The sequence below is a fragment of the Homo sapiens genome, chromosome 12 (assembly GCF_000001405.40).
Source record: "Homo sapiens chromosome 12, GRCh38.p14 Primary Assembly".
Taxonomy (NCBI): domain Eukaryota; kingdom Metazoa; phylum Chordata; class Mammalia; order Primates; family Hominidae; genus Homo; species Homo sapiens.
In genome coordinates, this window is record NC_000012.12 from 7871848 (window position 1) to 7899814 (window position 27967).

The window sequence follows — 27967 nt, forward strand, 5'->3', positions numbered from 1 at the left end:
TGTTGAGACACCAGCGCACACCCACCCAGAGCAGCCACCCATCGTGGGAGTGTGCTCAAGAAGCCATCTGTCCCAGGGGAGGCAGAATCTCCAATAGAGGGCTGAGCATGGAAAAAAAACAAAAAAAAGAAAAAGAAAAAAAAAGTAAGGTACTATTTATTTATCTGTAAAATTAACTCAGATTAATTCTTCTTAAAAATCAATGGAAATTCTAAATTTAGTCTGTGTATTAAACTGGGACAAAACTAATAACAGTATTTTACCAAGGACACTTGGCCTTACTCCCCTTCTGTCACACTTCAGACATAAATCACTGAATGAATCCAGCACTGAATAAATGAATGATCCATAATTTCCTAAGACAATTCCAATTTTCATCTTGCACAAATCTACAAAGCTGATGCACCCGCACAGCACTTGAACTCCTGGTAGGTATCTTTCAAGGCCAAGGCAGTTCCTCCTCCCGAATCCAGTTCCCTCCGCCTGGATCATGCTCCCAAGGCTCCCTCATTTCATTCAGGTCTCCTGCCAAAAGACACTTCCTCACAAAGGCCTCTCAGACCGACCCCTTCCCCACTCCCAACTTCACAGTCCACTCCCCTAGCCCTACTACATTTTTATTCATGAAGATTTACGGCATTTTGTTACGTATCTATACATTTTCTTGTCTGTCTCTTCCCTAGAATATACAGTCCAGCAAGGCAAGGGCTGGGGTGGCTTCGTTTGCTGTGGGATCCCAGCACCTAGAGCGGAGCCCAGGACATAGTAGGTGCTCAGTAAATCACAAATCTCTTCTCCAAGGCTCCAAGGCTAGTTTCCCAGAGCCGCAGCTCTCTTCTTTCTTAGCCCGGCCCACCTCCGAGTAGCCGCCCACCTCTACTCTAGCTCGGCCACCTCTACCCCAGCTCAGGTCCTCATTCCCGCACCCCCCGGCCGCAGGGACGGCGCGGCGCACCCACCTCCCAGACCCCGCGACTGCGGTTGGGCCCCGCGGCTTCGCTCAACCACGCACCTCCCGGGCCGCTGCGCCCCCGCCGGCCCCGCCTGCAGCCGTTGGGACCCACTAACTGCCTCGAAAAGCCTAGGATTCGACTTTGAATGGTCCGTTAATGTGGTTACAAAACGTGACTCGGTTCATCGGGAGCCCTCCGTAAGCAAGACAAGCACCCACCTGCGGTCAGAGCAGGGGTCCGGCTCGCGGTCGGGGTTGTCCGGCCCCTCCCGGCTTCTCACCTGCGCACCGCACGGTCCAGCCCCGGCGGCTGCTGGGGATCCCTCCGAGCGCCCCCTCAGGCGTCTTCCTGCGACCGGGCGGGGGAACTCTTTACGGGGAAACAGTTTTGGGACCCACCACCCTTGGCGCCGCCGTTAGGAGGGTGTGAACGTATCTATTTTCAAAGATACCCGAGCCCCTCACCGCCTGCAGCAGGGAGATAGTGCCCGGGCTATCCCCGCGGGCGGGCCGGCTGGGCTGGGAAGGCCCAGGGCGAGATCCTGTAAAGAGTTATTTCGGGCCGCGCACGGTGGCTCACACCTGTAATCCTAGCACTTTTGGAGGCCGAGGAGAGCGGATAACTTGAGGTCAGGGGTTCGAGACCAGCCTGGCCAACATGGCGAAACCCAGTCTTTACTAAAAATAACAAAATTAGGGGGCTTGGCGGTGCGCTCCTATAGTCCCAACTGCTTGGGAGGCTGAGACAGGAGAATCGCTTGAACCCAGGAGGCGGAGGTTACAGTGAGCTGAACTCCGCCATTGCACTCCAGCCTGGGTAACAGCTCAAGATTCCGTCTCAAAAAACAAACAAACAAACAAACAAACAAACAAACAAACAAAACAGTTATTTCAGACTCAGGAGCTCTTTTTGGATGAAAAGCCCCGCGGTCGTTCTCTCCACCTCCTGGAAAAGACTCTCTAGGTTTTCGGCTTTGGAGTAATAAAGATCATCCCCTGCTGCCCCATTGGTGCCATCCAGGGTAAGGCCCCTGCAGACAGCACGAAGGTGTTTTGGAGAGATTGTTCTCCCCTAGCCCAAGCATAAGGCTTACCTTGGAATTACCTGGAGCCTTACCACGACAGCATGGCCTTCAGTACAGGGTTGACAAGTCAATAGCAAACAAGGGCCATTAAAAGGGTCTATACTGCACTTCTTAAATGAGGATATCTCAGTCAACAATAAACATGTCAAAAGGCATGCAACTGAATTGTTGATCAGGGAACTTCACATTAAAACTACATGAGATACCAATTCGTGCCCACTAGAATGACTAAAACAAAGATGGGAGTTGGGGTGTGGAGAAAAAAGGAAGTGAATGCCAAACCTGGGGAATGTGGAACATTCAGAACTCTCACACATTTGTTAATGGGGTACAAATTGATAAATTGTTTGGCAATATTTATTAGAACATATGGCTACCCCACGATCCAAGAATTCCACTCCTAGGTATACACTCAACAGAAATGTATACATATATTCACCAAAAAGTAGGTACTAAAATGTTCATCTCAGCCTGGCCTTTGCAATCAGTATTTTAAAAGTATATTTAGGCAGGATGCAGTGGCTCATGCCTGTAATCCCAGCACTTTGGGAGGCCGAGGCAGGTGGATCATGAGATCAAGAGTTCAAGACCAGCCTGGCCAACATGGTGAAACCCCGTCTCTACTGAAAAGACAAAAACTAGCCGGGCGTGGTGGCATGCGCCTGTAATCCCAGCTACTCCGGAGACTGAGGCAGGAAAATTGCTTGAACCCGGGAGGTGGAGGTTGCAGTGAGCCGAGATCACGCCACTGCACTCCAGCCTGGGCCAGAGAGCAAGATTCCATCTCAAAAAAATATATAAATATATATATAAATATATATAAATATGTATATAAATATATAAAAAATATATAAAAATATATATAAATATTTATATAACTATATAAACATATATAAATATATAAATATATAAATAATATATAAATACGTATTTATATATAAATTATATATAAATACGTATTTATATATAAATTATATATAAATACATATATAAATATATATTTATATAAAAATTATATATAAATACATATATAAATATATATTTATATATAATTTATATATAAATATATTTATATATAAATTATATATAAATATATTTATATATAAATTATATATAAATACATATATAAAAATTATATATAAATACATATATAAATATATATTTATATATAAATTATATATTAAATATTATATTTAATATTCTATTTAAATTTAAATATTTAAATATTATATTTAAATAGTTAAATATATTTAAATATTATATTTAAAATTAAATATATATATTTAATTATATATAATATATAAATATATTAAAATATATTTATATTTATATATTTATATATGTATTTTTATATATTTATATATATATATATAATTTCTTTGGGAGACCAAGGCAGGCAGATTACCTGAGGCTAGGAGTTCAAGGCCAGCCTGCCCAACATGGCAAAACCCCATCTCTACTAAAAATACAAAAATTAGCCGGGCATGGTGATGCACGCCTGCAATTCCAGCTACTTGGGAGAATGAGGCCTGAAAATTGCATGAATCCGGGAGGCAGAGGTTGCAGTCAGCCAAGATTGCACCACTGCACTCCAGCCTGTGTGACAGAGTGAGACTCCCTTTCAAAAAAAAAAAATTAAAAAAAATTATTGCTATGAATTGAATGTTTCTACCCCCTCAATATTAACATGTTGAAATCCTAAACCCCAGTGTGATGGTATTAGGGTATAGAGCCTTTGGAATGTGATTAGGTAATAAGAGTGGTGTCTCATCAATGAGATTAGTGTACTTATAAAAGAGACACCAGGGCCAGGCTCAGTGGCTCAAGCCTGTAATCCTAACACTTTGAAAGGCCGAAGCAGGTGGATTACCTGAGGTCAGGCGTTCAAGACCAGCCTGGCCAACATGGTGAAAGACCCCGTCTCTACTAAAAATACAAAAAATTAGCCGGGTGCAGTGGCGCATGCCTGTAATCCCAGGTACTCTGGAGGCTGAGGCAGGAGATTCTCTTGAACCCAGGAGGTGGAGGTTGCAGTGAGCTGAGATCGTGCCACTACACTCCAGCCTGGGCTACAGAACAAGACTTCGTCCCAGAAAAAAAAAAGAGACACCAAGCTGGGTGCGGTGGCTTATGTCTGTAATCCTAGCACTTCGGGAGGCCGAGGTGGGCAGATCACTTGAGGTCAGGAGTTTGAGACCTGCCTGGCCAGCATTGTGAAACCCATCTCTACTAAAAATACAAAAAAAATTAGCCAGGCATGCTGGCACATGCCTGTAGTCCCAGCTACCTGGGAGGTGGAGGCAGGAGAATGGCTTGAACCTGGGAGGCAGAGGTTGCAGTGAGTCGAGATCGCGCCATTGCACTCCAGCCTGGGTGACAGAGCAAAACTCCATCTCAAAAAAAAAAAAAAAAAAAAAAAAGAGAGACAACAGGGAGCTCTCTCCTGGATTTCTCCTTGTGAGGACGCAGCAAGAGTACAGTCACCTGTGAACCTGGAAGCATGCCCTCCCCAGACAGTGAATTTGCTGGGGCCTTGATCTTGGACTTCCCAGCCACCCAAATCAAGTGTTGGTGCTGAAGTGGAGAAAAGAGAAAGTGTTTACATTGGTGGAAATGTAAATTGGTGCAGCCATTATGGAAAGCAGTATGGAAGATTCCTCAAAAAATTAAAACAGAACTACCCTATGATCCAGCAATTCCACTTCTGGGTATATATCCAAAGGAAATGAAACCAGCACCTTGTAAAAATAACTGCATCCCATATTCATTGCAGCATTATTCACAATAGCCAAGATATGGAAACAATCTAAACGTCTGTGGAGAGATGAATAGTAGCTTAGCCAACTTAATGGGACCTAAGCTCTGTCAAAGATTTTAAAACTCACTGATGCCAGGAAAGTTCTGGGTGCAAAGAAAAAAAAATTAGGCGAGTATGGTGGCATACGCCTGTAGTCCCAGCTACTCAGGAGGCTAATATACGTATTTGACTGTTCCCATATCCCATATATAAGAGAGTTCATATAATTTTTTTTTCTGTCTGGCTTATTTCAATTAGCATGATATTCTCCATGTTGCTGTGAATGGCAAGATCTTGTTTTTTAAAGCTGAATAATTTTTTTTCTTTTTTTTTTTTTTTTGATATGGAGTCTCGCTCTGTCACCCAGGCTGCAGTGCAGTGGCACAATCTCCGCTCACTGCAACCTCTGCCTCCCGGATTCAAATGATTCTCCAGCTTCAGCCTCCCAAGAGCTGGGATTACAGGCGCATGCCACTCGGCTAATTTTTGTATTTTCAGTAGAGACAGGGTTTCACAATGTTGGCCAGGCTGGTCTTGAACTCCTGACCTCAGGTGATCCACCCGCCTCGGCCTCCCAAAGTGCTAGGGCTACAGGCGTGAGCCACCATGTCTGGCCAAAGCTGAATAATATTTTAAAATTTTGTTAACACAAGGTCTTGCTCTGTTACCTAGGCTGGAGTGCAGCAGCATGATCACAGATCACTGCAGCGTCAACCTCCTGGGCTTAGGAGAGAGAGTACAAAATTTTTTCTTTTTTTTTTGAGAGGGAGTTTTGCCCTTGTTGCCCGGGCTAGAATGCAATGGTGAGATCTTGGCTTACTGCAACCTCCACCTCCCAAGTTCAAGAGATTATCTTGTCTCAGCCTCTGGAGTTGCTGGGAATACAGGCACAGGGCATCACGTCCAGCTAATTTTTGCATTTTTAGTAGAGGTGGAGTTCACCACGTTGGCCAGTCTGGTCTGAAATTCTTGACCTCGGGTGATCCGCCCGCCTCGGCCTCCCAAAGTGGTGGGATTACAGTCGTGAGTCACCAAACCCAGCAAAAAAATTGTTTTACATTTTTGTTTTAAATTCTATTTATTTATTTATTTAGAGATGAAGTCTCACTTAGTTGGCCAAGCTGGAGTGCAGTTCACTACAACCTCCACCTCCCGGGTTCAAGCAATTCTCTTGCACCAGCCTACCAAGTAGCTGGGATTACAGGCACATGCCATCATGCCCAGCTAATTTTTGTATTTTTAGTAGAGAAGGGGCTTCACTATGTTGGTTAGGCTGGTCTCGAACTCCTGAGCTCGTGATATGCCTGCCTCAGCCTCCAAAAGTGCTGGGATTACAGGCGTGAGCCACCATGCCCGGCCTTATTGTTTTTTATTTTTTATTTTTTTGAGACAGAGTTTCACTCTTGTCGCCCAGGCTGGAGTGCAATGGCGTGATCTTGGCTCACGGCAACCTCTGCCTCCTGGGTTCAAGGAATCCTCTTGCCTCAGCCTCCCAGGTTGCTGGGACTACAGGTGGCAGCCACCACGCCTGGCTAAGTTTTGTATTTTTAGTACAGACAGGGTTTCATCATGTTGGCCAGGCTGGTGTCAAACTCCTGACCTCAGGTAATCTGCCTGCCTCAGCCTCCCAAAGTGCTGAGATCACAGGTGTCAGTCACTGTGCCAGCCCTGGGTTCAAGTGATTCTCCTGCCTCAGTCTCCTGGGTAGCTGGGACTACAGGCACCCATCACCATGCCTAGCGAATTTTTGTATTTTTAGTAGAGACAGGGTTTCACCATGTTGGCCAGGCTGGTCTTGAACTCCTAACGTCAAGAGATCTACCCACCTAGGCCTCCCAAACCGCTGGGATTACAGGCATGAGCCACCCTGCCCAGCCAGTTTTAAAGATTTTTAGATGGTTAAAGTATATACTGTGGGTGTATATTTGTACTCTTGCTAACATTTTACCAGAAAAAAATAAAAACATAGTGAAATATCTTTCTCAAGTAAAATGAATGTATTAATATGGAAATTGAGCCAGGTGGGGTGGCTCAGGGCGATAATCCCAGCACTTTCGGAGGCCAAGGTGGGCGGATCACGAGGTCAGGAGATTGAGACCATCCTGGCCAACATGGTGAAACCCTGTTGCTAATAAAAATACAAAAATTAGCTGGGCATGCTGGCACCTGCCTGTAATCCCAGCTACTCAGGAGGCTGAGGCAGAAGAATCACTTGAACCAGGGAGTCGGAGGTTGCAGTAAGCTGAGATCCTGCCACTGCACTCCAGCCTGGGCGACACAGCAAGAGTCCGTCTCAAAAAAAAAAAAAAAAAAAAAAAAAAAAACAATTTGTCTTTCTTTTTTTTCCTCAACCTTACTCTAGAAAGTAGGGGTGTCTGAAGCCCATTCCTTTGGCCTTGGCTTTTCAGACAGCATTATCTTATAACTGTCCTTGAAGTGAGCTGCTTACATAGGAAAACTTCTTCTTTTCTTTTTAACCCTTGCCTTACCACATTCCGGGCCTTAGCTTTTACTTTTCTTGGAGTGAATAAATGCAGTACTCATTATTATTATTATTTTAACGTCTGCCTCAGCTTGAGGCCAGGAGTTCCAGACCAGCCTGGAAAACCTAGCAAGACCTCAACTCTGCAAAAAAAAACAAACAACAACAAAAAAAAACAAAAGTTGCACCCCAGCCTGGATGACAGAGCAAGGCCATGTCTCAACAACAAAAAAAGAGGCCAGGTGCTATGGCTTATGCCTGTAATCTCAGCACTTTGGTAGGCCAAGGGGAGCGGATCAACTGAGGTCAGGAGTTCAAGGCCAGCCTGCCAAACATAGGGAAACTACATCTCTACTAAAAATACAAAAAAATTAGCCAGGCATGCTGACAGGTGCCTGTAATCCTAGCTACTTGGGAGGCTAAGGCAGGAGAATCGCTTGAACCCTGGAGGTGGAGGTTGCAGTGAGCCAAGATCACGCCACTGCACTCCAGCCTGGGCAACAAGAGTGAAACTCTGTCTCAAAAAATAAATAAAAAAAATATAACAACAAGTTTTTTAGGCCAGGCACAGTGGCTCATGCCTGTAATCCCAACACTTTGGGAGGGCAAAGCAGGAGGAACACTTGAGCCCAAGAGTTCAAGACCAGCCTGGCCAACATGGTGAAACCCCATCTCTACTAAAAATACAAAAAATTAGCCAGACATTGTGGTTCCTGCCTGTAATCCCAGCTACTAGGGAGCCAGAGACAGGAGAATCATTTGAACCTGGAAGGCGGAGGTTGCAGTGACCCGAAATGGCACCACTGCACTCCAGCCTAGGCCTCAGAGTGACATCTCCAAAAAAATAAGAAACAACAGGCCGGGCATCATGGCTCACACCTATAATCCCAGCACTTTGGGAGGCCGAGGCGGGTGGATCACCTGAGGTTGGGAGTTCAAGCCAGCCTGACCAACATGGAGAAACCCCATCTCTACTAAAAATACAAAATTAGCCAGGTGTAGTGGAGCGTGCCTGTAATCCCAGCTACTTGGGAGGCTAAGGCAGGAGAACAGCTTGAACCTGGAGGCGGAGGTTGCAGTGAGCCGAGATCGCGCCATTGCACCCTAGCCTGGGCAACAAGAGCAAAACTCCGTCTCAAAAATAAATAAATAAATACATATTTTAAAAAGAAACAACAACAACAACAAAAACACACACAAAAAATCAAAGCTGAGGCAGGAGAATCGCTTGAACCCAGGAGGCGGAGGTTGTAGTGAGCCAAGATCACACCACTGCACTCCAGCTTAGGCAACAAAGCAAGACTCTTGTCTCAAAAAAAAAAAATACTGATTAATCAATATTAATCAATATTGATAACAGAATTCCATCAAGATTACTACTGAGGCTGGGTGTGGTGGCCCATGCCTGTAATCTCAGCACTTTAGGAGACTGAGGCGGATGGATCACGAGGTCAGGAGATCGAGACCATCCTGGCCAACATGGAGAAACCCTGTCTCTACTAAAAATACAAACATTAGCTGGGTCTCAAAAAAAAAAAAAAAAAAAAAAAAGAGAGAAATTGGCCGGGCGCAGTGGCTCATGCTTGTAATCCCTGCACTTTGGGAGGCTGAGGCGGGTGGATCACAAGGTCAGGAGTTCAAGACCAGCCTGGCCAACACACTGAAACCCTGTCTCTACTAAAAATACAAAAATTGGCCAGGCGCGGTGGCTCACGCCTGTAATCCCAGCACTTTGCCAGGCTGAGGCGGGTGGATCATCTGAGGTCAAGAGTTCGAGACCAGCCTGACCAACAAGGTGAAACTCGTCTCTACTAAAAATACAAAAAATTAACTGGCGTGGTGGCAGGCGCCTGTTGTCCCAGCTACTCAGGAGGCTGACACAGGAGAATGGCGTGAACCCGGGAGGCGGAGGTTGCAGTAAGCCGAAATCGCACTGAGAGGTGACAGCGTGCTGGCAGTCCTCACAGCCCTCGCTCGCTCTCGGCACTTCCTCTGCCTGGGCTCCCACTTTGGCGGCACGTGAGGAGCCCTTCAGCCCCCTGCTGCACTATGGGAGCCCCTTCCTGGGCTGGCCTAGGCCGGAGCCAGCTCCCTCAGCTTGCGGGAGGTGTGGAGGGAGAGGCGCGGGCGGGAACCCGGCTGCGCGCGGTGCTTGCGGGCCAGCACGAGTTCCGGGTGGGTTTGGGCTCGGCGGGCCCCGCACTCGGAGCGGCCGGCCGGCCGGCCCTGGTGGCCCCGGGCAATGAGGGATTTAGCACCTGGGCCAGCGGCTGCGGAGGGTGTGCTGGGTTCCCCAGCAGTGCCGGCCCACCGGCGCTGCACTCGATTTCTCCCCAGGCCTTAGCTGCCTTCCCATGGGGCAGGGCTCAGGACCTGCAGCCCGCCATGCCTGAGCCTCCCCGCTCCACCTCCGTGGGCTCCTGAGCCTCCCCGACAAGCGCGGCCTCCTGCTCCACGCGCCCAGTCCCATCGACCACCCAAGGGCTGAGGAGTGTGGGCGCAGGGTGCGGGACTGGCAGACAGCTCCACCTCCAGCCCCAGTGCAAGATCCACTGTGTGAAGCCAGCTGGGCTCCTGAGTCTAGTTGGAACTTGGAGAACCTTTATGTCTAGCTAAAGGATTGTAAATACACCAATCGGCACTCTGTATCTAGCTCAAGGTTTGTAAACACACCAATCAGCACCCTGTGTCTAGCTCAGGGTTTGTGAATGCATCAATTGACACTCTCTATCTAGCTACTGTGATGGGGACATGGATAACTTTTGTGTCTAGCTCAGGGATTGTAAACGCACCAATCAGCGCCCTGTCAAAACAGACCACTGGGCTCTACCAATCAGCAGGATGTGGGTGGGGCCAGATAAGAGAATAAAAGCAGGCTGCCCGGGCCAGCAGTGGTAACATGTTGGCCTCCCTTTCTACACTTGGAGGCTTTGTTCTTTTTTTCTTTGCAATAAGTCTTGTTGCTGCTCAGTTTTTGGGTCTGCACTGCTTTTATGAGCTGTAACACTCACCGTGAAAGTCTGTAGCTTTACTTTTGAAGCCGGTAAGACCAGAAGCCCACCGGGAGAAACGAACGATTCCAGACGGGTTGCCTTAAGAGAGCTGTAACACTCACCGTGAAGGTCTGCAGGTTCACTCCTGAGTCAGGGAGACCACCAACCCACCAGAAGGAAAAAAGTCCAAACACATCTGAACATCAGAAGGAACAAACTCCAGATGCGCCACATTTAAGAGCTGTAACACTAACCGCGAGGGTCCATGGCTTCATTCTTGAAGTCAGTGAGACCAAGAATCCCCCAATTCCTGACACAGCGCCCCTCCACTCCAGCCTGGGCAACGGAGCGAAACTTACCTCTCAAAGAAAAATAAAAGATATTTATTTGAGGCTAGCGTCGGCAGTGGCTCACACTTGTGATCTCAGCACTCTGGGAGGCTGAGGCAGGCACGTGGATCACTTGAGCTCAGGGGTTAAAGACCAGCCTGGTCAACATGGCTAAACCTCATCTCTACTAAAAATACGAAAGTTAGTCCAGCATAGTGGCGCACGCCTGTAATCCCAGCTACGTGGGAAGCTGAGGCTGGAGAATCACTTGAACCCAGGAGGCAGAGGCTGCAGTGAGCTGAGATCTGGCCACTGTAGTCCAGCCTGGGTGATGAGTGAGGCTGTCTCAAAAAAATTTGCTTGAGACTTGTTCACCACTTGGAAGTTGTTTCTCAATTCAAGTTTAAAAAAAAAAAAGGACTAAGACTCTTAAATGCTCTCCTGGCTAGGTGTGGTGGCTCGTGCCTGTAATCCCAGGACTTCGGGAGGCCAAGGTGGGCGGATCACAAGGTCAGGAGTTCAAGACCATCCTGGCCAACATGGTGAAACCCTGTCTCTACTAAAAATACAAAAATTAGCTGGACATGGTGGTGGGCACCTGTAATCTCAGCTACTCCGTAGGCTGAGTTGGGAGAATCGCTGGAACCCAGAAGTCAGAGGTTGCAGTGAGCCAAGATCATGCCATTGCACTCCAGTCTGGGTGACAAAAGCAAGTCTCAGTCTCAAAAAACAATCCAAAACCAAACAAAACCACAAATGCTTTCTTTTTCTTTCTTTCTTTTTTTTTTTTTTTTTTTTTTGAGATGGAGTCTTGCTTTGTCTCCCAGGGTGGAGTGCAGGGGCGTGATCTTGGCTCACTGCAACTCAGCCTCCTGGGTTCACGCCATTCTCTTGCCTCAGTCTCCTGAGTAGCTGGGATTACAGGCGCCCGCCACCATGCATGGCTGATTTTTTGTATTTTTAGTAGGGACAGGGTTTCACCATGTTAGCCAGGATGGTCTTGATCTCCTGACCTCATGATCCGCCTGCCTCGGCCTCCCAAAGTGCTGAGATTACAGGCATGAGCCACCACGCCCGGCCTCTTTTTCTTTTTCTTTTTCTTTTCTTTTTTTTTTTTTTTTTTTTTTTGAGACGGGGTCTCTCTCTGTCACCAGGCTGGAGTGCAGTCTCGGCTCACAGCCTCTGCTTCCCAGGTTCATGCCATTCTCCTGCCTCAGTCTCCCGAGTAGTTGGGATTACAGGCGCCCACCACCACGCCGGGCTAATTTTTTGTGTTTTTAGTAGAGACAAGGTTTCACCATGTTGGCCAAGATGGTCTCGATCTCTTGACCTCATGCTCTACCTGCCTTGGCCTCCCAAACTGCTGGGATTACAGGCATGAGCCACCACGCCTGGCCCACAAATGCTTTCTTAAATCTGAATTAACTTTTCTTTCTTTCTTTCTTTTTTTTTGTTTGAGGCGGAGCCTTGGTCTGTCGCCCAGGCTGGAGTGCAGTGGCACAATCTCGGCTCACTGCAAGCTCTGCTTCCCGGGTTCACGCCATTCTCCTGCCTCAGCCTCCCAAGTAGCTGGGACTACAGGCGCCTGCCACCACAACTGGCTAATTTTTTGTATTTTTAGTAGAAACGGGGTTTCACCATGTTAGCCAGGATGGTCTTGATCTGACCTCGTGATCTGCCCGCCTCAGCCTCCCAAAGTGCTGGGATTACAGGCATGAGCCACCGCGCCCAGCCTGAATTTCCTTTTCAACATCACACTATGTGCTATAAGTTTGAACTCTTTCTTTCACATAATTAAACTTATTTACTCCTGGAGGCTGGGACCTCTTGCTCCTTCTTCCTCCAACCCCTTTGCAATAACTGAAATACTCTGATGTCCTGCAATATTTTAAGTATAATATTTATTTATTTTTGTAAAAAGCTTTTAATACTAGTGAAGTGCCGTAGTGGGGGGATGGGGAAGAGTGGAACAAGGAGTTTGATCTGTAACTGACCCTGAACAATCAATTGGGATAACTCACTACGTAGATAATTCACTATTTGGTTGCTGTATTATTACGGTCAACAGCTTCATTTTATCCCACATCAGCTAACTGGAGCAACAGCTAAGGTCGAGATAATAGCATTGTCATAGGTGCTGGACTTCTCTCTCAACATCATCATCACTTCACCTTCCTCAACTCTGCCCACATGTTCTTCCTCCTTCTCTAACACCTACTGAGAAATTGAGAAGGCGATTCTCTTCTGGGCTGTTAATATGCTGTTCCAGAGCAAGGTTCTATTTTTGTTTGTTAAACTTTGGAAGGCATTCTTAGATGTTTCTCCTCTCCCTGCGGGCTAGACTTACTAGGAGTTAAAAATAAATCCCTTTTTACATTGGGTCAAAGATCCCCTGAGGGTAGGGTGGGAAAGAGGAAGTCATAAATACCCTGGCAACAATATTGTTCAAGGTCAGGACTATTTTTTTTTTCCTCATATTTTTCAGGAACCAAAAAACGATCAGGACTATTTTTGACAATGCAGTTTGATGGTTTAGTCTTTTGAACTCTCCAGTAGACCTTAGAATTTGGTATACATAGTAATTCAGTCCTTGAATATTAAAAGCCTTTAGTTAGAGTACAATCTGACAAATCCAAAGCTGAACCATGAGTCAGAAATTTTTTTTTCCAGCACCATAGGAAAGAAAAAATAATAACTAAAAAGAGCCAGGTGTGGTGGCTCACGCCTGTACAGCATTTCGGGAGGCCGAGGCGGGCAGATCACGAGGTCAGGCATTTGAAACCAGCCTGGCCAACATGGCAAAACCCCATCTCTACTAAAAATACACAAATTAGCCAGGGGTGGTGGCAGGCGCCAGTAGTCCCAGCTACTCGGGACGCTGAGGCGGGAGAATCGCTTGAATCCAGGAGAGGGAGGTTGCAGTGAGCCGAGATAATGCCATGGCACTCCAGCCTGGGCAACAAGAGCGAAACTTCGTCTCAAAAAAAAAAGTTCTTGTAACTCTCCAATTTTCTGAATGTTAATGTTTTAGCTATTGGAAATGATTCATTAATTTGTTAAATTGGTAAGTTTTTTTTTTTTCATGCTGCCAAGCACCGTAGTCTGAGCAGTGCTTCTCTAATTTAGTATATACAAAAATCAGAGATTCTTTCAAGCTCTATATCATGGGGAGTGAAAAAAGAAAAGTAAACAGACAAACAAACAAACAAAAATCAGAGATTCATAAAGGACAGATTTCTGGGCCCACCTACGAGATTCTTATTCAGTAGGTCTCGTGTGATGCCCAGCCCAATAAGTGATGCTCATCGTGGAAAAAGGAGTCAATGGTGTCTCATATATTTTTCTGTTAGTTGAATCTTTTATTCCACTTCAAAATTTCTTCTCATGGTAAGGTCATTGATGAAACAGCCATGAGCAAGTTAATTAAACTGGTTCATAGATACATATGTGAAGATTTATTGTATTGTTCACTATGTAAGTTTGAAATTTTTCTTTTCTTTCCTTCTTTTTTTTTTTTGAGATGGAGTCTCACTCTGTCGCTCAGGCTGGAGTGCAGTGGTGCGATCTCAGCTCACTGCAACACCCACCTCCCAGGTTCAAGCAGTTCTCTGCCTCAGCCTCCTGAGTAGCTGGGATTACAGGCATGTACCACCACGCCCGGACAGCTTTTTTTTTTTTTTTTTTTTTTTTTTTTTTGAGACAAGGTCAGGCTGTCCCTGAGGCTGGAGTGCAGTGATGCAATCATGGCTCACTGAAGCCTTGACCTTCTGGGCTCAAAGGATCCTCCCACCTCAGCCTCCCAAGTAGCTGGGACCACAGGCATGTGCCACCTCGCCCAGCTAATTAAATTTTTAAAATTTATTTATTTATTTATTTATTTATTTATTTATTTATTTATTTATTTTGAGACAGAGTTTTTCTTTGTTGCCCAGGCTGGTCTCAAATACCTGGGCTCAAAGCAGTCCTCTTGCTTTAGTCTCCCAAATTGCTGGGAGTGCGTGAAGTACTGCAGCTAGCTAAAATTTTTCATAATAAAAAGGTTCTTTTTGTGTTTTTATGGGTAAAATAGGCAAAATAGTGAAGAATATGCTGATAATTCCATTTGTAATCTCTAACTAAACTAAGTAGTTTCAGTAGTTATGGTGTTCATCTTTCCATCATTGGTAATTGGAGAGTAACTCTACCTCCCAGAGGAAGGAAGGAAGACTGTTAGTTGTGAATTAAAGACTCATTGTTCAAGGCTCATTGAATTGTCAGTGTAGGGGACCTAAGGCAATGACCACTGTTATTTTCAAGAGTTATTCTGTATATCACATTGATGTGCAGTTCAATATTTAAATGTAAGGAAATGACTCCTACCCTCTATTTGTTTACAAAACCCTAGTTCTCATTTATGCCCATTCCTTCATCAACAAATAATGATTTTCTTTTTTTTTTTTTTTTTGAGACTGAGTCTTGCTCTGTAGCCCAGGCTGGAGTGCAATGGCGCGATCTCGGCTCACTGCAACCTCCGCCTCCCAGGTTCAAGCAATTCTCCTGCCTCAGCCTCCTGAGTAGCTGGGATTACAGGCACCCACCACCACGCCCGGCTAATTTTTGTATTTTTAGTAGAGATGGGGTTTCACCATGTTGGCCAGGCTGGTCTCCAACTCCTGACCTCTGGTGATCCACCAACCTCAGCCTCCCAAAGTGCTGGGATTACAGGCATGAGCCACCGCGCCCGGCCAAATAATGATTTCCTACTTTTTGCCTGGTTCTCTCTAGAAGAGTAGTTCTTAAACAATAGCATTCAGAAAAATCACCTGGTTTCAATGGTAGGCTGTCATGAAAAAAAAAAATCACAGGGAGAATTTTAAAACAGATTCCTGATCCCTACCACCAAAGATTCCTATTCAGTGGTGAAGCCCATCAGTTAGCATCTCTAACAAGCTCCCAGGTGGTGCTGAGGATGCTGGTGAATGAACCATTCATACTCTTCTAGGGTTGCAGACAAGACAATAAATTAAACAGGTGAAAAATGAAAGTAATTGCCCTCACAGAGCTTATATTCTAGTGATAGTAGGTAGATAAATCAGATAGATAGATAGATAGATAGATAGATAGATAGATAGATAGATAGATAGATAGTTAGATAGATAGATAGAATGTATGTTACCTGTGTTGCCTGGCCAAAGGGTAGGTTCACATTTGGCATGTATGTCAATCCAAGCTGCACTTGACCTTTTCTAATCATCTCCAAGTCTACCTATTGCCTTATGCAAATCCTATCACTTGATTTATTCAAGAAGTCTCCCAACTGTCATCTCTGTTGGCACCCATGCCTTCCTATAATCTAGTCCCAATGTATTCGTCAGAATGATTTTTTTGTTGTTTTTTAAAGACGGTCGTATCAAGATACTCCTTAGCTCAAAATCTTCCTTTGGCTTTCTCTCATTCAGAGTCACGAGTCAAACTGCTGAATCACAGAATCCTTCCTCTGGCCCTGTACTTTACAGTCTGTCTTTGCCTCCTTGGGTTCTCCCACAGCACCATGAAGTTGGCCCCTCATTGATCCAGGAAGAAGGCAGGAAATCTCCAGAATCAGGGCTTTTGCCACCAATGTTGTCTCTCTGGTTCTTCCTCCAGAAATCTACCTAGCTTTAACATTACCTCCTTAATGCAGTGTCCCCCTCCCTATCCTCCATTTGATTCTTCATTATAGCACTTAGGAAAGGTCAACTGCAGCTTCGGTTGGCACACATGCCAAATGTGAACCTACCCTTTTGGCAAGAGAAACAGGTAATCTCCACCCCAGCAGTCCTGTGACACAAGCAGTAATGAAAGAAATAAAGAAATGCACGTTTTTAAAAAGCATAATCATTTTTTGACACTCTGCTGGTTCACCAAGCCCTTGTTCATGTGCTGATCAAAAACGCACTCAATGGTGGAAAACAGAAGCATGCAAAAGCAATACGATTACAAGAAAGATGCCATTGAATTCTAGATATATTTTGAAGGCATAGTTGACAAAGATGTCTTTAAGATTTTGGACTGGCCGGGTGCAGTGGCTCACACCTGTAATCCTAGCACTTTGGGAGGCCGAGGTTGGCAGATCACAAGGTCAAGAGATCGAGACCATCCTGGCCAACATGGTGAAACCCCGTCTCTACTAAAAATACAAAAATTAGCCAGGCGTGGTGGTGCATGCCTGTAGTCTCAGCTGCTCCGGAGGCTGAGGCAGGAGAATCACTTGAACCTGGGAGGTAGAGGTTGCAGTGAGCTGAGATCGTGCCACTGCACTCTAGCCTGGGCAACAGAGCAAGACTCCGTCTCAAAAAAAAAAAAAAAAAAGAAAAAAGGAATATCAGGAGAATATAGACTAATTAGAAGAGATTTAATTTAAAGCTTACAGTCCTTTTCTACCTATGGTCACCTACTTACTTCTCAGGTCTCTGGACTCTAATTTCCAATGACCAATTTGACACTCCATCTCTATATAAACCAAGATGATCAAATATATACATACACAGGTATCAGGCCTTGGGCTAGATATAATTAAGATGGCTACAATATGGACAAGACAGTGCCTCATGCATATTAATGTTACAGGAAAAGGGTCCTGATCCAGACCCCAGGAGGGTTCTTGAGCACAAGAAATAATTCAGGGCAAGTCCACAAGGCAAAGTGAAAGCAACTTTATTAAGAAAGTAAAGGAATAAAAGAAAGGCTACTCCATAGACAGAGTAGCCCAGAGGGCTGCTGGTTGCCCTTTTTTTTTTTTTTTTTAAGACTGAGTTTCGCTCTTGTTGTCTAGGCTGGGGTGCAATGGTGTGATCTCAGCTCACTCCAACCTCTGCCTCCCGGATTCAAGCAATTCTCCTGACTCAGCCTCTCAAGTAGCTGAGAGATTACAGGCATGCACCATCACGCCCGGCTAATTTTGTATTTTTAGTAGAGACGGGTTTCTCCATGTTGGTCAGGCTGTTCTCGAACTCCTGACCTCAGGTGATACACCACCTCGGCCTCCCAAAGTGCTGGGATTACAGGCGTGAGCCACCGTGCCTGACCTGGTTCCCCCTTTTTTTTTTGAGATGGAGTTTTGCTCTTGTTGCCCAGGCTGGAGTGCAGGGGTGCAATCTCGGCTCACTGCAACCTCTGCCTCCCAGGTTCAAGCGATTCTCCTGCTTCAGCCTCCCAAGTAGGTGGGATTACAGGTATACGCCACCACGCCCGGCTAATTTTTGTATTTTTAGTAGAGACAGGGTTCCATTATATTGGTCAGGCTGGTCTCGAACTCCTGACCTCAGGTGATCCACCCGCCTTGGCCTCCCAAAGTGCTGGGATTACAGGCATGAGCCTGGTCGTCTGGTTGCCCATTTTTATGGTTATTACTTGATGATATGCTAAACAACGGGTGGATTATTCATTCCTCCCCTTTTCGGAGCATATAGGGTAACTTCCCCAGGTTGCCTTGGCATTCCTAAACTGTCATGGCGCTGATGGGAGTGTAGCAGTGAGGACTACCAGAGGTCACTCTCGCCACCATTTTGGTTTTGGTAGGTTTTGGCTGGCTCCTTTACTGCAACCTGTTTTATCAGCAAGGTCTTTATGACCTGTATTTTGTGCTGACCTCCTATCTCATCCTATGACTTAGAACATCTTAACCATCTGGGAATGCAGCCCAGTAGGTTTCAGCCTCATTTTACCCAGCTCCTATTGAAGATGGAGTCGTTCTGGTTCACACAGCTCTGATAGTAATCTGCTCACTAAGTGTTAGTTGCCGTGTTCTCTGCCACAACTCCCTCCTGTTGCACCCCTGCCTTTGAGTCCTGCTAAACAACAGTATTGGAACCCATCATTTTCTCTCATGCCTTTACCCAAACTGTTAATTTTCTGCAATTCCCTTCTCTCCACATTTTTCCTTCTCAGATCACTGAAGATCGTCCAGTCTTCCCTGCCCATCCCTTCCCGACCCCATCCTCCATTATTTGTACTCTCTTAGCATCCAGTGCACTTTTTTCAGTACTTATCACACAACATTATAATTGTTTTTTTGGTTTATTTTGATCAACTCTACTAAATTGTTAGCTCATTTTAACACGCCCTTATGCCAGCCTAGTCCAACAAATCTGAAGTCAGACAGGTTCCTAAACCTCAACTTTATTCAAATTGCTTTCCTTGGCAAAGAACATAGTAAGTTGGCCTTCCAGCCACCAACCCCCTTCCCTTTGGTCTTTCACTCCGGAGGCTCTTACCCTAGACGCAATGGGACAGGGAGCGGGGGATGGGGGAATTCAGCTCAGGCTTTTATGCAAAGTCCCCCTTCAGCAAAGAACAAAGCTTCTGGTACCTGCCCTTTGGACAGCTGCGGGCAAGCTCAGCCTCGGTGAGTCTTGGTGGCCTTGACAGCCCCCACTTAACACACTGTGCTGATTAAGAGAGACAGGAGGGCAAGTTTTTCCCTTTTTTAAAGAAATCATCCTCGACATGGACTACCTGCCTTGAAGCATGATCTATCTAGTTCCACTTACCTCCTCCCCGACGCCCCCATTCTGACTCTTCTCCAGAGTGGAGGTCTGAGAAGAAAAAAAGAAATGCCGCATTTCATCTCCTTGTTTCACACCCAGGAGTACTTCTACTCTCAACAGTTGGAGTCTTTGCATTGTGAACAAAAGTCAGGTTGTGTGGGAGCAAAGCCAGCTGCTCCCAGTGCAGACCCAGGAGCAGAGTGCAGAGGAGAATGAGTCAGAGTTGTGTCTTCAAAAATTACGTAATTGCGATTTGCTAAGAGTTTACTTTCTGTTTGGGAAATTGGAAAAGAGAAAGAAATCTTACTTTTATTTCTTTTTTTTTTGTTTTTTTCGAGACAGGGTCTCACTGTCACCCAGACTGGAGTGCAGTGGCACAATCTCGGCTCACTGCAACCTCTGCCTCCTGGGTTCAAGCGACTTTCCTGCCTCAGCCCCGCCGAGTAGCTGGGATTACAGGCGTGTGCCACTACAGCCCGGTTAATTTTTTTGTATATTTTAGTAGAGACGGGGTTTCACCATGTTGGCCAGGCTGATCTCGAACTCCTGACCTCAGAGTTATTCGCCCACCTCGGCCTCCCAAAGTGCTGGGATTATAGGCGTGAACCTTCGCACCTGGCCAGGTTTCTTGAATGTTAGGTTTGGGAATAGAAAGGAAAATGGAAAACTTTAGACTTTTTTTTTTTTTTTTTTTGAGATGGAGTCTCACTCTGTCCCCCAGGCTAGAGTGCAGTGGCATGATCTCAGCTCACTGCAACCTCTGCCTCCCGGGTTCAAGCAATCTTCCTGCCTCAGCCTCCTGAGTAGCTGGGACTACAGGTCCGTGCTACCACACCCAGCTAATTTTTTGTATTTTTAGTAGAGACGGGGTTTCATCGTGTTAGCCAGGATGGTCTCCATCTCCTGACCTCGTGATCCGCCCGCCTTGGCCTCCCAAAGTGCTGGGATTACAGGCGTGAACGACAGCACCCAGCTACTTTAGACTATTTATGTCCATAAATGTTAGTGCTGGAACCCAACTCTAAAAACTTTATTCCTTTGGAAAACATACCTCCCTCTCACCTCAAACAAACAAACAAACCCAAACACACAAGATGGGCATGGGGTAATGTTGAAAGACATGACAATATCATCATTCCTGATTTAAAAGTTGGAAACGTGGTGAACCTAGAAGTATTTGTTGCTGGGTTTGTCTTCAGGTTCTGTTGCTCGGTTTTCTAGTTCCCCACCTAGTCTGGGTTACTCTGCAGCTACTTTTGCATTACAATGGCCTTGGTGAGACTGGTAGACGGGATTAACTGAGAATTCACAAGGGTGGGGGGGTGTCCCCCCCAGGAGGGGTGGGTCTAAGGGTGATAGAGCCTTCATTATAAATCTAAAGACTCCAGGACTTTAGCATTTTTCTGGACTGAGCTGGTTTCCTCCTGTTATTGTGGAGGCGACTCACTTCATCACAACTTCTTGATACTTTTGCTGCTGGAGGTCATATTTCTCTAAGATCTTCCAGAAAAAAGTCTTAAAGCCATCTTAGCCTTTTTTCCAGTCCAGCTCTTAAATTTTTCCCACTCTTCTCCAATAATGACATGAGTGTGGATCCAGCTTGTCCATAAAGCCTGCCTTGCTCCAAAGCATCTGACTGTAAAGACTGGTCACCTATACCTGTGATTTGTGGGCCTGAAGAAAACCATCCATCCTTGCAAATGTCTTCTGCTGAGATGCCTCACACAGAGACTGGTAAGAAAGAAATTTATCCTTGAAAGAAAGGCCAAGTTCCTTAAGAGAAAAGGGAAGGAGAGAGGGTTAAGGGATCATTTCACTCTTGAGCAATAATACCCCATTACTATAAGCAAGTGTTAATATCACCTAATCCTCTGAAAAAACCCCTGTTTCAATTGTAACTTGGTGGCACCTGCCCTTTGAACTATATCCCAGGTCTCAGGAGTGTGCACTGAGTTGAAGGACACAGAATTCGGCAGTTGAACAGTATGCAGTAAATTTGAGAACCTATGGGCTTAGGCATGGTGGAAACAAAAATGTATCATTGGCCGGGCGTGGTGGCTTACGCCTGTAATCCCAGCACTTTGGGAGGCCGAGGTGGGCGGATCACGAGGTCAGGAGATCGAGACCATCCTGGCTAACACGGTGAAACCCCATCTCTACTAAAAATACAAAAAATTAGCTGGGCGTGGTGGAGGGCACCTGTAGTCCCAGTTACTTGGGAGGCTGAGGCAGGAGAATGGCATGTGAACCTGGGAGGCGGAGCTTGCAGTGAGCCGAGATCGCGCCACTGCACTCCAGCCTGGGTGACAGAGCGAGATTCCGTCTCAAAAAAAAAAAAAATGTATTATTATAGTTAAATGAAGGTGATGCGTACATCTTCACATAGCACTGGACACACAGCTATAGCAGATTTATTGCTAATTAACCGGAAGACCTAACATCATAGCTCAGGGATAAGCATGATGTTTTTGTTTTGCCAAAAATGGCATGGCAAATCATGGTGAGATTTCTGTAATTAATATATAATTTATGTAATTACCTTCTTTCTATGGCAGTAACGGCTGTCTCTTCTCCATTCTCTGGGTTTGTGGATGTTACTGGGCAGCTCTGAGTTTGGGAGCACCTCCTATGTCTACTTCTCATCAGTCCTGGGAAGTGTTGATGAAACCTTATGGTAAAGATAATTCCAGAAAGTTTAATCTACTGACAGTCAAACAGAACGTAGCTAGAAATCCAGTTTGGCTTCAAAACCTGTGCTAGTACTTACGCTTCTGACTGGTAGCTGCAAGGGGTGGGGGATACTCAGGATACTCATAAAGCCACTATCACTCTTTGGAAAATCAATTTTTCAGTAGTTTTCAAAAATTTAAAAATGAACCAACTTTAGTTACAAAATCAGTATATGCCAGGCCCTATGCTGGACCATTTTAATTGGTTACCTCATTTTAATAAACGAAGGAATAATTTTGGAGATGAGGTCAGAGAGCTAGTAAAGGGAAATCTTGGACTGAAACAGAAGCCTATCAAAATTCACATATCCTGCTGGTTCTAGCATTGAGAGCTGGGCAGTGAGTTGCTGGCTTTATTTTTTATTTTTTAAGACACAGTCTCGGGCCGGGCGTGGTGGCTCACGCCTGTAATCCCAGCACTTTGGGAGGCCGAGGCGAGCGGATTGCCAGAGTTCAGGAGTTCGAGACCAGCCTGGGCAACACGGTGAAACCCCCATCTCTACTAAAATACAAAAAATTAGCTGGGCGTGGCGGCATGCCCCTATACTCCTAGCTACTCGGGAGGCTGAGACAGGAGAATTGCTTGAACCCGGGAGGTGGAGGTCAGTGAGCTGAGATTGCACCACTTCACTCCAGTCTGGGCGACAGAGCGAGACTTCTGTCTCAAAAAGAAAAAAAAAGAAGATGCTTATCATGGGCCGGGGGCAGTGGCTCACACCTGTAATCCCAGCACTTCGAGAGGCCTAAGCAGGCAGATCACCAGAGGTCAGGAGTTCAAGACCAGCCAGGCCAACACAGTGAAATCCTCTCTCTACTAAAAATACAAGCAAATTAGCTGGACATGGTGGCGCGAGCCTGTAGTCCCAGCTACTTGGGAGGCTGAGGCAGGAGAATCACTTGAACCCAGGAGGTGGAGGTTGCCACCAGCCGAGATTGCGCCACTGCACTCCAGCTTGGGCAACAGAGTGGGACTTTGTCTCAGAAAAAAAAAAAAAAAAAAAAAAAAAGATGCCTATGGCCGGGCGAAGTGTCTCACACCTGTAATCCCAGCATTTTTGGATGCCAAGGCGGCTAGATCACTTGAGGTCAGGAGTTCAGGACCATCCTGCTCAACATGGTGAAACACTGTCTCTACTAAAAATACAAAGAATTAGCTAGGCATGGTAGCGGGTGCCTGTAATCACACCTACTCAGGAAGCTGAGGCACGAGAATCTTTTTTTCTTTTTTTTTTGAGACAGAGTTTTGCTGTTGTTGCCCAGGCTAGAGTGCAATGGCGTGAACTTGGCTCACCGCAACCTCCACCTTCCAGGTTCAAGTGATTCTCCTGCCTCAGCCTCCCAAGTAGCTGGGATTACAGGCATGTGTCACCACGCCCAGCTAATTTTGTATTTTTAGTAGAGACGGGGTTTCTCCATGTTGGTCAGGCTGGTCTTGAACTCCTGACCTCAGGTGATCCACCCGCCTGGGCCTCCCAAAGTGTTGGGATTACAGGCGTGAGGCACCGCCCCCGCCGAGAATCTCTTGAACCTGGGAAGCGGAGGTTGCAATGAGCGGAGATCACCCCACTGCACTCCTGCCTGGGTGTCAGAGCAAGACTCTGTCTCTAAATAAATAAATAAATAAGAAGGTGCTTATTACTTAGATCTGGGGTTGTGGGGATTATCAAAGTACTTTGAAAACAACTTTTTTAACAGAATATTTTAATATTTGGAAAAAGTTTTAAAGAAAAGCATCCTTTTATTTGTTTCCAACAGTCTCTCCTCTTCCTTCCTCCATGGATCTGCCTATTCAGGACAGCCATGATTCTTCCACCAGTCCCAAAGGCAAACAACCCACTACTGCAGAGAAGAGTGCCACAAAAAAGGAAGACAAGGTCCCGGTCAAGAAACAGAAGACCAGAACTGTGTTCTCTTCCACCCAGCTGTGTGTACTCAATGATAGATTTCAGAGACAGAAATACCTCAGCCTCCAGCAGATGCAAGAACTTTCCAACATCCTGAACCTCAGCTACAAACAGGTAGGCTTATTTTGTCGTTGCAATAAGGTGAACAAAAATTGGACTAATTTGCATGGCTAAGATCTCTGTGGATGCACATAGATGTGTGTGGTATGTGTCAGCACACTCCCTCTTGCAAATAATTTAAGTATGAAGATGAGGTATGTTATGGCTTAACCCTTCACCCTTCACCTCAATAGAGTTTTTATTTTATTTTATTTTGAGATGGAGTCTGGCTCTGTTATCCAGGCTGGATTCACCGTGGCACAATCTCGGCTCACTGCCTCAGCCTCCCGAATAGCTGGGATTACAGGCGCCTGCCACCGCGCCTAGCTAATTTTTGTATTTCAGTAGAGACGGGGTTTCACCATGTTGGCCAGACTGGTCTTGAACTCCTAACCTGAGGTGATCTGCCTACCTTGGCCTACCAAAGTGCTGGGATTACAGGCGTGAGCCACCGTGCCTGGCCTCAATAGAGTTTTTAAAAAAATAAACAAAGTCTCCCAATTCCAAACAATAGGAATAGATCTTCATCACACCAATTTGTACTTTATTTCTTATACTTGAGGTTAGATTCTAAACCCTAAAGATATCCAGACTAGTATTAGATCTACTTATCTATAGCCAGAGACAGCTTCTATCAATGTTGTCCTTAACAGCCAAGGTTATTAAAATGTCTTTTCTCAGGAAAGATCCAATAGGAAAAAAGAAAGAAACCTCTCTGATTAGGCTCCAACCATACCCCACCCTCCATGAGATTGACTGGATAGGCATCATGGAAACCAGAACACGTAGTTTCCATACAAGAAAAATCCTATGAGGGATGGGAGGAGGGGAGAGGAAGGATTCAGCCAGTGTCCAGACTGAAACTGAGTAATATCAATTTCACTCATCTTCACACGTCTTCAGGTTGCATGTTCATGGAGTAGTTTAGGAATAAATCCATGGTTTGTGGAGTACTAAAATACCTAGTGGTCTGCTGTATTACATTAAGGCCTTCCCCAGCAGCTTCCAAGGCAGCCTCCAAGTCACTGGCAGGAGAATTTGGCTGGAACTGCATGCAGGACTGCAGAGATTCCTCTCCACAGTTATAGAAGGGACTGTTCCAGGCCTGATTGTTCCAGGATTGGGTGCACCAGGTCTGAGTGTTCCAGGAGTGGTTGCTCCAGGACTGGATGTTCTGGGTCTCGTTGCTCCAGGTTGAATTGTTCCAGGTCTGGTTGCTCCACATTGGAAGGTTCTTCACCTCTTTCTTTCATTAAATATCTATTACGTGAATGTGATATAATTTAACCACTTTCTTTTCTTGCATAGACCAATATTGTGAAAATCTTTCCAATGTTTCCTTAATCAAAAAGAATTATGGGCCGGGCGCAGTAGCTCACACCTGTAATCCCAGCACTTTGGGAGGCCAAGGCAGGCAGATTACCTGAGGTCAGGAGTTCAAGACCAGCCTCGCCAACATGGTGAAACCCCGTCTCTACTAAAAATACAAAAAATTGCCGGGCGTGGTGGTGGTTGCCTGTAATCCCAGCTACTCAGGAGGCTGAGGCAGGAGAATTGCTTGAACCCATGAGGTGGAGGTTGCAGTGAGCCGAGATCTTGCCACTGCACTCCAGCCTAGGCGAAAGGTCAAGACTCCGTCTCAAAAAAAAAAAAAAAAAAAAAAAAAAAAGAATTACATAACTCTACTTTCCAGGTTAGGAGAATTCCTAACTTACACTGGTTCTCATTAAAATAAAAACTACCTCTTCTTTTTCCTTTTTTTCTTTCTGCCAGCAGCCTCCAGCTTCTTTTGTTTTTAGCCCTTATTTTGTATCGAAAATGTTCATTTCTCTTTTTTATTTTTATTTTTTTTAAAACAGTCTTTGTTGCCCAGGCTGGAATGCAGCTGTGCAATCTTGGCTGACTGCAACCTCCACCTCCCAGGTGCAAGCGATCCTTCCATCTCCGCGCCTGAGTAGCTGGGACCATAGGCACACACCATTATGCCGGGCTAATTTGTTACTTTATTTTATTTTTTTGAGACGGAGTCTCGCTCTGTCGCCCAGGCTGGAGTGCAGTGGCGCAATCTCGGCTCACTGCAAGCTCCGCCTCCCGGGTTCAAGCCATTCTCCTGCCTCAGCCTCCCGAGTAGCTGGGACTACAGGCGCGCGCCGCCACGCCCGGCTAATTTTTTTTTTTTTTTTTTTTTTTTTGTATTTTTAGTAGAGACGGAGTTTCACCATGTTAGCCAGGATGGTCTTGCTCTCCTGACCTCATGATCCGCCCGCCTCGGCCTCCCAAAGTGCTGAGATTACAGGCGTGAGCCACTGCGTATGCCTGGCTAATTTTTTTAATTTTTGTAAAGACAGGGTTTCACCATTTTGGCGAGGCTGGCGCGAACTCCTGGGCTTAAGCAATTCGCCCACCTTGGCTTCCCGAAGTGTTGGGATTACAGGTGTGAGACATGGTGCCTGGCCAGGAATAAAAGTTAGTAGTATTCTTTCATTCAAAGTACATCCGTATTATTAATATTTTATAATTTCTGTCATTTTTTCCTGCAGGTGAAGACCTGGTTCCAGAACCAGAGAATGAAATCTAAGAGGTGGCAGAAAAACAACTGGCTGAAGAATAGCAATGGTGTGACGCAGGTAACAGGAAACTTCATTCTGTTCTTTCCTTTCAGTGATCTTTCAATCTTGTCCATCCCTGAAACACACAACTCCAGTCACAGACAGTTCTGGTTGTCCTTGTACCCTTTCTGTTAATCTCTCCTTCTCTTTGAGAAGGCCTCAGCACCTACCTACCCCAGCCTCTACTCTTCCTACCACCAGGGATGCCTGGTGAACCCGACTGGGAACCTTCCAATGTGGAGCAACCAGACCTGGAACAATTCAACCTGGAGCAACCAGACCCAGAACATCCAGTCCTGGAGCAACCACTCCTGGAACACTCAGACCTGGTGCACCCAATCCTGGAACAATCAGGCCTGGAACAGTCCCTTCTATAACTGTGGAGAGGAATCTCTGCAGTCCTGCATGCAGTTCCAGCCAAATTCTCCTGCCAGTGACTTGGAGGCTGCCTTGGAAGCTGCTGGGGAAGGCCTTAATGTAATACAGCAGACCACTAGGTATTTTAATACTCCACAAACCATGGATTTATTCCTAAACTACTCCATGAACATGCAACCTGAAGACGTGTGAAGATGAGTGAAATTGATGTTACTCAGTTTCAGTCTGGACACTGGCTGAATCCTTCCTCTCCCCTCCTCCCATCCCTCATAGGATTTTTCTTGTATGGAAACTACGTGTTCTGGTTTCCATGATGCCTATCCAGTCAATCTCATGGAGGGTGGGGTATGGTTGGAGCCTAATCAGAGAGGTTTCTTTCTTTTTTCCTATTGGATCTTTCCTGAGAAAAGATATTTTAATAACCTTGGCTGCTAAAGACAACTTGATAGAAGCTGTCTCTGGCTATAGATAAGTAGATGTAATACTAGTTTGGATATCTTTAGGGTTTAGAATCTAACCTCAAGAATGAGAAATAAGCTGGGCGCGGTGGCTTACATCTGTAATCCCAGCACTTTGGGAGACCAAGGCGGGCGGATCACGAGGTCAGGAGATCGAGACCATCCTGGCTAACACGGTGAAAACCTGTCTCTACTAAAAAATACAAAAAAGTTAGCTGGGCATGGTGGTGGGCGCCTGTAGTGCCAGCTACTCGGGAGGCGGAGGTTGCAGTGAGCCAAGATCGCGCCACTGCACTCCAGCCTGGGCGACAGAGTGAGACTCTGTCTCAAAAAAAAAAAAAGAAAAAGAAAAAGAAAAGGAAATAAAAGTACAAATTGGTGTGATGAAGATATATTCCTATTGTTTGGGATTGGGAGGCTTTGTTTATTTTTTTAAAAACTCTATTGAGGCTGGGTGTGGTGGCTCACACCTGTAATGGCAGCACTTTGGGAGGCCAAGGTAGGCAGATCACCACAGGTTAGGAATTCAAGACCAGTCTGGCCAACATGGTGAAATCCCGTCTCTACTAAAATACAAAAATTAGCTGGGCATGGTGGCAGGCGCCTGTAATCCCAGCTACTCGGGAGGCTGAGCGGAGATGGTGC

At 45.8% G+C, this 27967-nt stretch overlaps 1 protein-coding gene and 1 pseudogene across 6 annotated transcripts in view, besides 4 other annotated features; one reads left to right on the plus strand and one right to left on the minus strand.

Moving 5' to 3' along the window:
• SLC2A14 (solute carrier family 2 member 14) overlaps nucleotides 1-19349 on the minus strand; it is a 78683-nt gene extending 59334 nt beyond the window's left edge. For 2 of the 6 annotated variants that reach the window (NM_001286236.2, NM_001286234.2), the window contains exon 1: nucleotides 960-1068. Coding sequence is in view for 1 of the 6 variants with exons in the window: in NM_001286237.2 (NP_001273166.1) it covers nucleotides 19149-19280 (132 nt within the window). In the remaining 5 variants the exon portion in view is untranslated. Of the gene's footprint in view, nucleotides 1-25; nucleotides 102-263; nucleotides 526-959; nucleotides 1069-19148 lie in introns of those variants that run through there. The other 4 variants (NM_001286233.2, NM_001286235.2, NM_001286237.2 and 1 more) reach the window with 4 other exon arrangements.
• Nucleotides 583-1263: an enhancer, noted in NCBI's record as "H3K27ac-H3K4me1 hESC enhancer chr12:8025026-8025706 (GRCh37/hg19 assembly coordinates)". NCBI's record gives its function as "activates a minimal SCP1, AML or CMV promoter by ChIP-STARR-seq in primed H9 embryonic stem cells {active_cell/tissue: H9 hESC(primed)}" and the evidence as "EXISTENCE:reporter gene assay evidence [ECO:0000049][PMID:30033119]".
• Nucleotides 9063-9648: an enhancer, noted in NCBI's record as "H3K27ac-H3K4me1 hESC enhancer chr12:8033506-8034091 (GRCh37/hg19 assembly coordinates)". NCBI's record gives its function as "activates a minimal SCP1, AML or CMV promoter by ChIP-STARR-seq in naive H9 embryonic stem cells {active_cell/tissue: H9 hESC(naive)}" and the evidence as "EXISTENCE:reporter gene assay evidence [ECO:0000049][PMID:30033119]".
• Nucleotides 9649-10233: an enhancer, noted in NCBI's record as "H3K27ac-H3K4me1 hESC enhancer chr12:8034092-8034676 (GRCh37/hg19 assembly coordinates)". NCBI's record gives its function as "activates a minimal SCP1, AML or CMV promoter by ChIP-STARR-seq in primed H9 embryonic stem cells {active_cell/tissue: H9 hESC(primed)}" and the evidence as "EXISTENCE:reporter gene assay evidence [ECO:0000049][PMID:30033119]".
• Nucleotides 19066-19360: a silencer, noted in NCBI's record as "tiled region #8483; K562 Repressive non-DNase unmatched - State 4:PromP". NCBI's record gives its function as "represses a minimal TATA promoter and a strong SV40 promoter by Sharpr-MPRA in K562 cells {active_cell/tissue: K562}" and the evidence as "EXISTENCE:reporter gene assay evidence [ECO:0000049][PMID:27701403]".
• NANOGP1 (Nanog homeobox pseudogene 1) lies at nucleotides 20515-27399 on the plus strand (annotated as a pseudogene).